This window comes from Homo sapiens, chromosome 8, assembly GCF_000001405.40.
Source record: "Homo sapiens chromosome 8, GRCh38.p14 Primary Assembly".
In the NCBI taxonomy this organism is placed as follows: Eukaryota; Metazoa; Chordata; class Mammalia; order Primates; family Hominidae; genus Homo; species Homo sapiens.
Window position 1 is genome coordinate 133,390,802 of NC_000008.11, and position 13,893 is coordinate 133,404,694.

Consider the following 13,893-nt stretch of genomic DNA (forward strand, 5'->3'; position numbering starts at 1 on the left):
GTTATTTCCTTCCTCTCTTTTAAGAAACTTTCCTAATTGGATTTTTTAAATTGTGAAATACTTTTCATTGTATTTAGCTAAACAGTAGAAAGTCTGTTTCAAAAAAAAGTTGATAAACTTTTTGTGGCAGGGAATGCTATTTGGCCATCCAACATCCATTATCCATTTCTGGGTTAGTAATAAAACTCTTATATTATCTGGGCTGCCCAAACGCTGTAGCATACAACATGATACAATACAATGTAACACAGTTACTGTGGCCAGCTAAAATAAAACTACATTTCCCAGTTTCCTTTGCAGTTAGGTGTGGTTGGTGGGACTTCTGGGATAGCTCCCTAAAAGAGGCATAAACTATTTCTTCCATGCTCCTGCCCGGGCATGATGTTGCAAGCACTGACTGTCATCTTAGACCACAGGTGGCTTGAGGATGGAAGGCCGTGGTTAAGGGCAGTGGAATAGAAAGGCAGACAGAGCCTGAGTGATGACCTAGAGCTACAGCCATATTAGTTCAGGACCATCTATTTCTGAACTTCCTTTACAAGAGAAAACTAAACTTCCTCTTTACTCAGCCACTTATTTTGGGGATTTCTGTTGTAGGAACCTGAATCTAATTATAACTGATGACACGTCTTTTCCTTCTAGTCCCCCCTCTTGACATAACAGGCATTAACAATTGCGTTTTTCTACACGTTTTTTTATGTTCATAGCAAAGATATTTTTATGTACACACCTGTATAAAATGGTATCATGCTCTATACCATACTTTTTCATTGCTTAGTAATATACATATCAAGGTAAAATTCCCAGATCAGGGTATGTAGATTTCTAACCTAATCCTTTTAACATTAGGCTATAAAATTATAGTATGGATGCATCGTAGTTTATTTTTTTTAAGTTACTCAAATATGTCAATTTTATTGTTTCTCTATACACACATTTATTTGATACTGAATATTGCAAAAAAAAAAATAGCACATCAAATTTCCTTTCATTGGTATCCAAATTTTTGAAAACCGGAAAATCTAATTATTATGCTCTAGCCAAACTACCCAATGTTTTCATTACATTCTTTCCCCACAAGTTACTTTGCATCAAATTCTTGATATTGGGTTTCATCTCACTGACTTTAGCCTTCTAAAATACATGGGAATACTTATGTCCTTTTCGTATTTCTTCGGGTCAAAACAGTGAGTAAAGGTAAAGTATACTGAGGTTATCCAAATACATTCAAACTACATACACTACATACATTACTGATTTCATGGTAGGAAGGAAAAAAAAGAAGAAAAATATATCATAGAACTCATTATCAAAATTATTTGTATACAATCCATTCTAGCATAGAGTAGCTTTCTCAACCTGCTACATAAAATTGCCAGCAAGAAAGAAAAGTATGAGAATAAGCTTTCTGGCTGAATTGGCTCAGTGCCATAATTCCCTATTCTAGCATTCTCAGAAGAATCCCATCTATGATACACATAGAAACCACAGCCACATTTGAATGGTTCACTTCTTGATCATTCTGAACTCCCTTAAGCCCAGTGTTTGTTTTCTTTCAAGCCTAGGAAGCCTGCTAAGTGACACGTATCTACATTTTAGCATCATTTCTTTCCATACAGACAGCAATGTTCTTACTCCCTCCTCCTGTAAGGTAAGCCATCTCTGATGTCCTGGAAGATCATTTCTCTTTTCTCCTATTGTTGGAGTGAACCTTCTGGTAGAGAGGAAGGGAATTTGATACCAGAGCTGAGAATCAAGTTTAAGGTTCTTTATCAATGTCTCGGAGCAGAAGTTATGAGAGGCCCTGAATTGTCCTGGGAATTTTCTTCAGTGAGCATTTTTGAAGGCTTTGGGATCAAAGTTGGGTTAAACTTCTGTGATGGGTCCATTGGCAATCTAGACACAGCACTAAGCTCCTCCTGGATCTTTGGAACCCAGCGGAAACTGATATCAGACTTTCAAATTGCCGCAAGATAGCCGGGAAAGAACTCTCTAGCCCAGAAAGAGCCTGAAAACCTGAACTCCAACAAATGGTAATGAAAGAACTGACCAGAAATTTAGGTCCCATCTCCTCTTAAAATACAGATAAGCCAATTATACATCGTAATTCATTCAATAATTGTCCTATTGCTGTACTGAGAAGGTTTCTAGTTGTTTTTCAGCTAACATAAACCTTGCTACAATAGACACATGGTACAAATAGCCTTGCCAATACTGCTTTTATTTTTTAGCACAGACGTCCACAGTGGGGTGAGTAGCTCTTTTCACTTTTACGTCTCCTCTACCCCTTCCTTTTGTAGCTGAGGCAAGAGAGGTCCTGAAAGATGGTGTGCCAAAGACAACAGAGAAATACAAAGCCAACAATGCCTCCAGAATCCTCCTGATTAGAATCTGAGGTCCACACCCCTATTTTCCTGTATTTTGTAGCAGTAAATATTTGTTGAAAGAATATGCTAGTAATCTCTATTAAAAGCTGTTCCACCAACTCTGCTTAAACATATCTGATGAAAAAGAGAGTATCAACTGCTAGAATGTTCTTCCTACATTGCGTTGCAATCTAATTTCTTGAAACTTCCACTTGCTAGTCTCTGTTCTGACTTCTGGGGTACTGGAGAACTGATCTACTTCCCCAAAGGACAGGTAGGACTCACGAAGGCAGGCACTTGGTGATAAAGGCATTGAGGATTGTCTCTTTGGGGCGCTCCACACTTCTCACATGTGGAGTGTATGCTACTGGTTAGGCAAGGAGCATGGGTCTGAGGATGGAAAGAAGAATAAGACATGGTCTTTGACCTCAAGGTAGTTACTATCCAGGGTTTGGGGGACAACTCACAGAGGTGTAGCTCATCCTCTGACAAACTCAGCTTTGGGGTGACCTGAGAACCCAGAATAATGGCCACAGGGCACTACTTGAGGAATGTTCAGAGGGGGGAGGGGGATGTTTGGAGGGAGGAGAGGAAAGCATGCTGGTGGGGCTAAAAGGTCATTTGAGAGAAATAACTGGAAATAAAGTTGGATGAGGAAGAGGGCAGCCTGTTCTCACCCAAAGGAAGAAATCAATTCTGCTATAAGTGATTTGCTTTTTCTGGAAATACTCCTTACTCAAAAGCACAAAAAGTCACATTCTCATGAGTCCCTCTCTCTCTCTCTCTCTGAGAGAATTTAGAAAAGAAACTGAAAGAGCACAGGCTCTATCTGCTTTTCCCTCCCAACATTCTAAGAAAGTCTGCTTGACTTGGTCATTACTAAGAGACATTACAGCAATTAAATTTTCCTCTTATTAAAACATTAGGTAATTTGGTGGCAAAATAAAAGTTAAAAAAATGAATGGTTGAAATCTATAGAAATTAAATCTTAAACAGCAAAAGGCAAGCAGGCAGTCCTTTGGTGTAGAAAAAGCATGAGGTATAAAGCAGGGGGCATTGAGTTGGAATACTAACTCTGTCACCTGTGGCTGGGGAATCTGACTGTGTCACTTCTCCTTGCAGCTTCATTTTCTTGTTGTAGAAAAAGGAGAGAATGGTACCTACATAAAAGGTGTCTGCAAGAGAGTAAATAAAATAAAATAAATAACTTCTATAAAGTGCTTAGCCCACTGGAGGTGGCAAGTGCCTGTGGACATTCCCCTTGAATGTATTTCCACTTGCCATAGTTTGGGCACATACACAGAACATTCTCTCTGTTTTTGTTGGGTGGCTGAGGTCCTGCTTTAATTTTCAGAAAATAATACATGAAGAATGTGGATCAGAAAAGGCACAAAACTCTACACAGTTCTCAGGGGTCCAAAGTGTCTGCTATGGTCTAAATGTTGGTGTCCCCACAAAATGTATATAGTGGAATCTAATACCCAATGTGGTAGTTTTAAAAGTTAAGGCCTGGCTGGGCGCGGTGGCTGACGCCTGTAATCCCAGCACTTTGGGAAGCCAAGGCGGGCGAATCAAGAGGTCTGGAGTTTGAGACCAGCCTGGCCAACATAGTGAAACCTCGTCTCTACTAAAAATACAAAAAATTAGCTGGGCATGGTGATGGACACCTGTAATTCCAGCTACTTGGGAGGCTAAGGCAGGAGAATCTCTTGAACCTGGGAGGCAGAGGTTGCAGTGAGCCAAGATCATGCCATTGTATTCCAGCCTGGGAGATAGTGCGAGACTCCATCTCAAAAAAAAAAGAAAAAGTTAAGGCCTTTGGGAAGTGATCAAATCATGACGCTTCCAACCTCATGAATGAGATTAGTTGTCTTATAAATGAGGCTCAAGTGAGACCCTTTGCCCCTTCCACTCTGTGAGGACACAGCAGGAAGTTTCCATTGATAAGGAATGGGCCCACACCAGACACCGAATTTGCTAGTGCCTTGAATTTTTTAATTTATTTGTGGTTTTTTTTTGTTCGTTTGGTGTGTTTTCTTTTTTTTCTTTTTTTTTTTTTTTTTGAGACAGTCTTGCTCTGTTACCCAGGCTGGAGTGCAGTAGTGTGATCTTGGCTCACTGCAACCTCCACCTCCTGAGTTCAAGCAATTCTCCTGCCTCAGCCTCCTGAGTAGCTGGGACTACAGGTGCATACCACCACGCCTGGCTAATTTTTGTATTTTTAGTAGATATGGGGTTTCACTAGTTCACCATGTTGGCCAGGCTGGTCTCAAACTCCCGACCTCAGGTGATCTGCCCACCTTGGCCTACCAAAGTGCTGAGATTACAGGCATGAACCACCATGCCCAGCCTCATGCCTTGAATTTGGACTTCCCAGCCTCCAGAGCTATAAACAATAAATTTTTGGTTGTTTATAAATTACCTAATCTAAGGTATATTGTTATAGCAACCTGAATTGACTGGGACAGTTTGTGTTGGGCCTTTGCCCAAATCCCGTGATGCATAGATGGCCCGTAAGGTTACCAAGCCAGGGGGTCTGGGCCACAGGTTGGGTTCTTCTATCATATATATGGCTGACTGCACTTTACATAAGTCAATAGATGACAGGAGAAATGCAATGGATTTAAGGAAAAAAAAGTGGGGGAGGAAAGGGAGGGAGCTAAGGTCTTGTCCTGGTTCTGCCTCTGGTGACCTGTGTGACCTGGAGCAAGTCAGTTAACCAGAGTATCAGGTCCCTGCTGTGTAAAATGGGGGTATTAACCCTCTTCTTGCCTCCCTGAAGAATTCTTCACAAATTCTATGGAATGCAACAATGAAGCGGTTCAGAAAGTTATTTAGTGGTAACAATGTAAAGGTTTCATAGGGACAAACTGCATGGGTGGTGAGAATAGCCCATCTAAGGGACCACCAGGGAGTTGAGTTTTTTGCCTTTGCTTTGTGGAGAGAATACTAGGCGGCCCTTGTTCTACCTCAGCCCCCATCAGGCTGTACCTTTGCCTTTTAAGGTCTTGCTCTATTTTTTATGAGAATCCTAAGCCCCCCCCCCCCCCCATGGGCTTGGCCTATCACATGCTGGTGATCAATTAGCAGCCTGATCTCTGCTTTGGCAAAGCAGGAGGATTCCAGGTTGTAAGATCTCTGCTTGCTCGGGTGAGTGTGGGTTACTGAAGATCTCAGATAAACAGCTGATGTCTGCAACAACCGAGACTCTTGCAGATGATGTCTACAACAGCTAGGCCTAGATACAGCGGCCCTAGTCCTTGGAGTAAGGTGGCTGTGTTACCTTTGTTACCAATACACTTTGTTAACCCTCATATGGAACCAAATGCTGATTGGGAAGCATTATTATTTATATTCTCATAGTGATACTCTTTATTGAAGGATTATTCTATGCCAGGTGCTTTTCTTACATTATTTTTCTCATCTGCTCCTCTTGCAGACTTTTGAATTCAGTGGCACTTCTACATAAATTAGTGCTTGACTAGTCATACATATGTATATTTGAAAACCGGTAGTACATTTTGTGTGAGAAAATGTTCATTTAGTGTACATGCCATGCCAGGTGGAATATGGCTTTAGGAACCCCTTCCACTACTCTCTAATGCTTTGGCAAACTTAGCCACAGGTCAGTAGAACATACTGATTGTGTTGGTTAACATATCAGTTTGGCTGCTGTAACATAAAGTCCTAAAATAATAATGGCTTAAATAATGCAGAAATTTAAATTTAATTATCTTTCCCATAATGGTTGGGTAGGTGGGCCAGGTATGGTGGTTCACGCTTGTAATCCCAGCACTTTGGGAGGCTGGGAGGATCATTTGATGTCAGGAGTTCAAGACTAGCCTGGGTAAAACCCCGTCTCTACCAAAAAAACAAAACAAAACAAACAAACAAACAAAATACAAAAAAAATTAGCCGGACATGATGGCCCGTGCCTGTAGTACTAGTTACTTGGGGGGCTGAGGTGGGAGAATCACCTGAGCCTGGGAAGTCAAAGCTGCAGTGATCCATGATCATGTCACTGCACTCCAGCCTGGGCAACAGAGTGAGACCTGTCTCAAAAAAAAAAAAAAAAAAAAGTTTGGGCAAGTGACCCAGGGCTCATACAGTGACTCTATAGTAATCAGCATTCAAGCTTCTTCTGTCTCATTGTTCTAGAATTCTCAATATGTAACTTATATCTCATGATCAGAGATGGTTGCTTCAGTTCCATCTATCATATTCTCATTCCATCTAATGCGCATGGGGAAAGAGGAAGTTGCACATAATATTTCCCCTCATATCCCATGAATGAGAACTTAGTCCCATGATCAAATTGCAAAGGACTCTGGGAAATGTATATTTTAGCTGAGTGTTCTGCTTAGGTAAAAATTCTGCAATTCTAAAAGAAGGGGTGAATGGATATTGAAGGGCAACTCATGTCTGCCATAGAGGTCAAGATATGAACTTGGAGGCCTATAAACATGAACTGAAACCCCAGCGCCATAGCTTCCTAGCTGTGTGACCTAGCAAAAGTATATCAGTTATCTATTGCTGTGTCACAAATAATCCCAAAACTTACTGGCTAAAAAGAACAAGTGCTTATTATCTCACTGTTTCTACAAGTCAGGAATTTGGGGGGCAGCGTAGCTGGGTGATTCTGGCTCAGCGTCTCTCATGGAATGAACTGTAATCATGACATTGGCTGGGGCTATAGTCACCAAAAAGCTTGACCATGGATTCCAAGAAGGCTCATCCACATGGCTGTTAGCAAAAGGCCTCAGTTCCTTACCATGTTGACGTCTCCATAGGGCTGCATGGCTGTCCTCATGACATGGCAGCTGCCATCCCCACACTGAGAGATCCAGCAGAGAGAGCAAAGGTGAAGCCCAGCACCTCCTATGAGTCCGTCTTTAACACCATCACTTCTGCTGTATTCTATCCATTACAGTCACCATGGGCAGCCCACACTCAAATGGAGGAGAATTAGCCCCACCTTTTGAGAAAGGAGGATCAAAGAATTTGTGGACATATTTGAAAACCAGCAGAGCAAGTTAGTCATTTTTGCTAGCTGAAGTGCAATTTCTCCATCTATAAAATACCAGTAACACTCGAGTCATAGGGCTGGGGAAGGGTTTATAAGAGAAAATGAATGCAAAGGAGCAGATACATACTAATTACTCAGTAAGTGCTAGCTAACATTGTTCCCCAGTTTTCCCAGATAGGCCTGGTTTCACTCTCCCACCACCCACAATGGCCTGTGCAGACACAGAGCAGCACACCTGCAGCACTCATTGCCAAGATATCATCAGAGAGATGTGTTCGTCAAGATCACTCATAACTGTAAACATAGGAAATGAATTCAAGAGCAGTGCTGCAAAGAGTGGGGATGAGCATGTCGGTTCCCAGCTAGGGCAGCACAGCCATGTGGGGCAGCATAAACACAGCTCATAGCACACTCCACGTGCCAACTTTGAAATTATGTGATTCATATATGGTGGGGCTGGAGTGGGAAATTTGAAATACTTCAGATTTTGCACACTGAGAATGTTTTCTCATTTTACATTGCATGACATCAAAATCACAGGGTTTGGATTCACTCGGAATGTGATGACCTTGTAGGTATTCATGTATCTGTTTCTGCCGCTACATGAATTGTTTGAGGACAGAGATCAGGACCCTCAATAAGCCAGTTCATCTTTGAATCCTCAGTTTTCTTCATCTGTCAATGGGGATGATCTCATTCACTCACACAGCTGCTGTGATGATTAAATGATCTAATGCGATAAAGTGCTTGACAGAAATCTGTTCTAACTGAGCACTCATTAAATGGCAACTACTATTTCTTTTTAACTTTTATTTTAATTTCAGGAGTACAAGTGTGGTTTGTCACATAGGTAAAGTTGTGTCATGGGGGTTGTTGTACAGATTATTTCATCACCCAGGTATTAAGTCCATTACCCATTAGTTATTTTTCCTGATCCCCTCCCTCCTCCCATCCTCCACCCTCCAAAAGGCCCCAGTGTGTGTTGTTCTCTATGTGTCCATGTGTTCTCATCATTTAGCTCCCACTCATAAGTGAGGATATGTGGTATTTGGTTTTCTGTTCCTATGATAGTTTACTAAGGATAATGGCCTCCAGGTCCATTGATGTCCCTGCAAAGGACATGAACTTGTTCTTTTTCAGGGCTGCATAGTATTCCATAGTGGATATGTACCACATTTTCTTTACCCAGTCTATCATTGATGGGCATTTAGGTTGATTCCATGTCTTTGCTCTTATGAATAGTGCTGCAATAAACATACCCACGCATGTGTCTTTACTGGTGGTAATCACAGAAAGTCTTTCCTCAAGGGCTCAGTGGAGACAAAGTCCAGGAGGCCTGAGGTAGGGGGAAGTCAAGGGTAAGGGGAAAAAGTGGGAAGTAGACCAAATAGAGGAACCCTTCAAATAAGGACTCAAAAACTGGTATCCATGAGAAGTCAAGGCTCCCACAGGTCAAGGGTCTAAGCCAGGTTAGCTTCCAGAGCAGGAGCTGACAGGGCCCATGGGAAACAACCAGAAATGGTGGCTGGGCCTGCCTTGGGCTGGGGACCACTCATCTTCCAGCTGCTGTGGCCAGACACAGAGCTGGGCGTCCAGGTCTTGATGTAGCCAAGAAGCCAGGGACTACCAGCAGCCCTGAACCCCTCTTCTGTAAGCAGCCGCCCAGGCTTTCTTAAGCTGTAGATTTCCAGGACCTGGCACTTTCCTGCCATCTTCTTTGGCATGTCTGCAGGCTCTGCAGACCCTGCAGACCCCGCATGTTCAAATGGGTCTCCTCCCCAACTGGCCAACTGGCTTCCCGTCATGTTCTTTTCCTTGGCCTGCCTCTGGACCAGCCGTCTCCCCCATCCTGCCTTCTCCCCATGTTTCTGGCCCACCTGTCTGTGCCTCATCTCCTGTCACTTTTCTTCTCCCTCCCTTGGCTGACATGGCTGGCGATGGCCTCTCCTGCTGCTGACCCGTCCTCTGCAGGGCCCTGCTAATGGCAGCTTGGAGCACTCCCACCCCTGCTCCAAGACCTTCTGTGACTTTTTCTGACACACAGCTGGAAAAAACCCAGCAAACCAGGAGGAGGAAGTAGTTTACCTCCCAAAACACTCAGCATGAATTAATCCCCCAGCCCAGGAAACCCAAAACTCACCCTCGAAATTCCCCTTCCTTCCTGACAGTCCCTCTCTCTCCTCCCCAGGTCTTCGTCACACTCGGAATCTCTCCAATATACCTCATCACCACTTTTCTGCTAAATGGCTATTTGTGTACCTATTGATTTAACTCCACTCGACTGTAGCTTAAAGACTTTTTCTTATCCAACTACATAAACATGATAAGTATCAGGGCCAATACTCAGAATATTAAGCCCCCTGCAGGAGCATCCTGACTGAAGAGAAGGCCTAGCTGTTGGATTAACAGAAGTAAAAGAGATAAAGAAGAATCAGATGGAGATTTTAGAATGAAAAACTATAAAAACTTACATAAAAACCCCATCCACCAATGGGCTCAACAGCAGAAGTGGAATATAATCCTAACTTCAGGATTAATCTCCTTTGTCTCCTGCAGTATAACAATGGCTCCTGAAAATCTGGGAACTGGGAATAACCATCTCTGTACCGTGGGGGGCTAACCCCAGGAGTGGCTCAGTGGAGAGGCTTGCTTAAGTGTTAGTGGAGTTTGATTTTGGCTGTGAGGCCACTAACGGGTAGATGAAGCCTCTAGAGAAGTTGAAATCTCCTTCTCCTGGGTTAATGCAAGGGCAACATATACTCACCTCCCTGGATAAAGCTATGGCTTCCAATTTAATTCAGCTTGCCCAACGCACCACTGGAAAGTTTCATCCTTCAGTGGTCCTTCTTCCAGGAGATCTCAGCCTGCAGGGAATAGTTTCAAAGTTTCTAGCCTACAGTGTTGACAGGGTCATCGAAAAGCATCACACCTGGCCCATTTTTCCTCCAGGGAAACTGAGGCACAGAGGAAAAGGGACTTAGCTAAGGATCTATTTGAGTGAGCCTGTAAAAGAATTAGAATGAAACCTAGGCCTTCCACTTTACAGTTTTTTCCCACCAACTCCCAGGAGTCCTTATATTTCAAATCATGATTCTTAGTTCCTGGGAGCTGAGCCTGGGCTTGGTAGAAAGGCCAAGGTAGGGAAAGAAGCTGTTTTGCTCTCCATTAGTTCAAAAATTATTTACTAAAAACCATATTGTCATTAGAATTTGTAATGTTTGCCATTGCTGTGTAACAAACCACTCCAAAACTCAGTGGCTTGAAACCGTAAAGTATTTATTATTGCTCACAAGTCTATGGGTCCTTCAGTGGGTGGTTGTGGTCATCTAGTCAGGATTGGCAGATCTTGGCTGGGTTTTGTGCCAGATCAGCTGGTAGTGGCTGGCATGAAAGTGCCTCACTCATGTCCTGCAGTTGGCTTGCTGTGGGCTGTGGTGACAAAGGTGTCTGGGTCATATATCTCTCACCCTCCAGTAGGCTAGTCCAAGCTTGTTTACATGGTAGAGAAAAGTTTCCAAGAGAAGATGAAATGATTCAAAGCTTCTGAGCCCTAGGTTTCAAGCTCCACATCACTTCTACCACATTCTTTTGCCATAGCAAGGTCCAAGGCTGGCCATGATTCTAGGAGAGGGGAAATAGCTTCTACCTCTTGATGGACACAACAACAAAATCCCAGTGCCAAAAGGCATGGATGCAGGAGGGCTGGACAATTGTAGTCACTTTTATAGTTTACCATGAGGCTGTTCAAAAATTTTGATTCTATTTCTGTCTGGCTCTTTAGGGCTGTGTGAGCTGCTTTGGTCAATAAATTAGAGTGAATGAAATACGGCACTTCTGGGTGAAAACTTAAAAATCCAATGTGTGATTCTCTTCTTTTCCTTCCTTCTACTGTGGATAGCAGAGGATCACAACAGGGGCCTCCATGACCCCAAGTCCATAAATGACTGGGATGATCAAATTCCATCCCCTAGGCCCTCTGTCACCCACGTTGCACATGTAGCATGAGCGAGAGCTACAACCTTTGTTGCTTGAAGTCCCTGAGATCTGGGACTATTTATTACTGCATCATAACTTGTTATATCCTGACAGATACAAGCCCCTACTATGTGCCAGAGACTATCCACTGGGCATAAATCAGTGAACAGGAAAGGCACAATCCTTGCCCTTGGTCAGCTCACAGTCTTTTGAGAACAAAATACAAAACAAGTGAACAAATAAATGTATACTTATAAGCATGTAAATTATGATCTGTACTGTGAAGGAAAAGAATTGGAGTGAAAAAGAAATGAGGAATGAGAGGGATTGTGAAAGAAGGGAATCAATGCAGATCACGTGGTTAAAGGCAAGCCTCTCTGGAAAGGAAGCCTGGAAGCCAAGACATGGAGGGTGGAAGGAAGACAGCTGAGGCAGCCTGGGAGCAAAAGCAAAGCATCCTGGGGTCGAACAGTGGATGAGAAGGCAGAACAGAGTGTGAGAAAGCAGAATAGTGTGTGAGAAGGTGGAATAGATTGTGAAAAGGTGGAACAGTGTGTGAGAAGGCAAAACAGTGTGTGAGAAGTCTGGAACAGCATGTGAGAAAGTGGAACAGTGTGTGAGAAGGCTGGAATAGAGTGTCAGAAGGCAGAACAGAGTTTAAGAAGGCGAAACAGAGTGTGAGAAGGCAGAACAGTGTGTGAGAAGGTGAATCAGAGTGTGAGAAGGCTGGAACATGTGTGAGAAGGCTGGAACATGTGTGAGAAGGCTGGAACATGTGTGAGAAGGCAGAACAATTTGTGAGAAGATGAAACAGTGTGTGAGAAGGCTGGAACAGTGTGCGAGAAGGCGGAACAGTGTGCGAGAAGGCGGAACAGTGTGTGAGAAGGCAGAACAGTGTGTGAGGAGGCTGGAACAGTGTGTGAGAGGGAGGAACAGTGTGTGAGAAGGCAAAACAGTATGTGAGAAGGCGGAACAGAGTGTGAGAGGGTGGAACAGTGTATGAGAAGGCAGAACAGTTTGTGAGAGGATGGAACAGTGTATGGGAAGGTGGAACAGTGTGTGAGAAGGCAGAACAGTGTGTGAGAGGGAGGAACTGTGTGGGAAGGCAAAACAGTGTGTGAGAAGGCAGAACAGAGGGTGAGAGGGTGGAACAGTGTGTGAGAAGGCTGGAACAGTGTGTGAGAAGGCAGAACAGAGTGTGAGAGGGTGGAACAGTGTGTGAGAAGGGTGAAACAGTGTGTGAGAAGGCAGAACAGAGTGTGAGAAGGTGGAACAGTGTATGAGAAAGTGACACTGTGTGTGAGAGGGCAGACTAGAGTGTGAGAAGGTAGAACAGTGTGTGAGAGGGCAGAACAGAGTATAAGAGGGCCAGAGAAGGAAGCGCTGGCTCACTGCAGAAGTAAAAGGAGGCCACATAGCAGGGAGAAGTGAAAGGGGAGGGTTCCCCAGGATGAGGATGGTGTGAGGAGGGGGCCAGGCCACAGGGCCTCAGAGCCTGTGGAGAGGGCTTGGGCTTATTTGAGGCACCTGGGCCCCCCCAGTGCTCAGGGATGTGAAATGGAGTCCTCTGGGAAGCTTCCCATTTCCTGCTGGGCTGGGGGCGGTGCAGCAAGCTGCTCACATCCCTTGTTCTTGGGCATAAGCTCCAGAGATGTCAAGGCTCATGCCAGGCCTCACGGCTGCCTCAGAGAAAGGGAAGCGTGACTTCCCCACGGTAATTTTGACACAGTACAATAAACACTCCTCTCTTCCTGCTTGGCTGAGGCCCTGGTCAGGTGGACGCTGGCCATAGGCACCTCTCCGGGCTCTAGCCCCACTCTGGATCCTGCAGAGACCCAAGTAGGGGCAGCTGGTGACCAGAAAGCTGCCTGCAGTTGCTCACCCCTGCCAGGCTCCAGCAGGGCAGGAGACATAGGCCCAGGGCTGGCTGGAGTGACTCAGATGTCCTCATAAGACACCAAGGCCAGGCCAGGCCAGACTCTGGGATCCTCAGTGGTGTCCCAGCTAGGGTTTCAGTCCTCCCTCCCACAAGCCTGCAGGAAAAATAGTGTGTTGTATGGTGCCCATGAAGACCAGAGGCCAGCAAGGCTCAGGGCCTGGGATGGGGCTGTGCAAACACACTCTTCTCCTCTATTCTCTCAGACTGTGTTTCTGTCCCCTGTGACAGCTACTGATGGGTGACAATGTCCAGGCTTGTGGTTGAGTGTTTTGCTTGACAGTGGGTGGATGGGGGCAGGGAGAGGTGGGGGAAGCACAGACGGGGCTTCAGCTGGGCCTCCCTTTGTGTTCCACCCTTCTCAGTCTACACACCCGCACCACACACACACACACCACACCACATATCACACCACACACATACCACACACAGATCACACACCACATACATCACACTATACACACCACACACACACCACACCACACACGCACATCACACACTACACACATATATCCACACACCACACACATGCCACACACAAATAGTCACACAACACACTACACACAACATACCACACCACACACACATAC

The 13,893-nt window shown here is 44.5% G+C and overlaps 1 pseudogene, besides 1 other annotated feature; it reads right to left on the reverse strand.

Moving 5' to 3' along the window:
- Positions 206-425: an enhancer, noted in NCBI's record as "active region_27995". NCBI's record gives its function as "activates an Ori minimal core promoter by ATAC-STARR-seq in GM12878 lymphoblastoid cells {active_cell/tissue: GM12878}" and the evidence as "EXISTENCE:reporter gene assay evidence [ECO:0000049][PMID:35858748]".
- On the reverse strand, positions 1,410-1,889 carry DPPA3P7 (DPPA3 pseudogene 7; annotated as a pseudogene).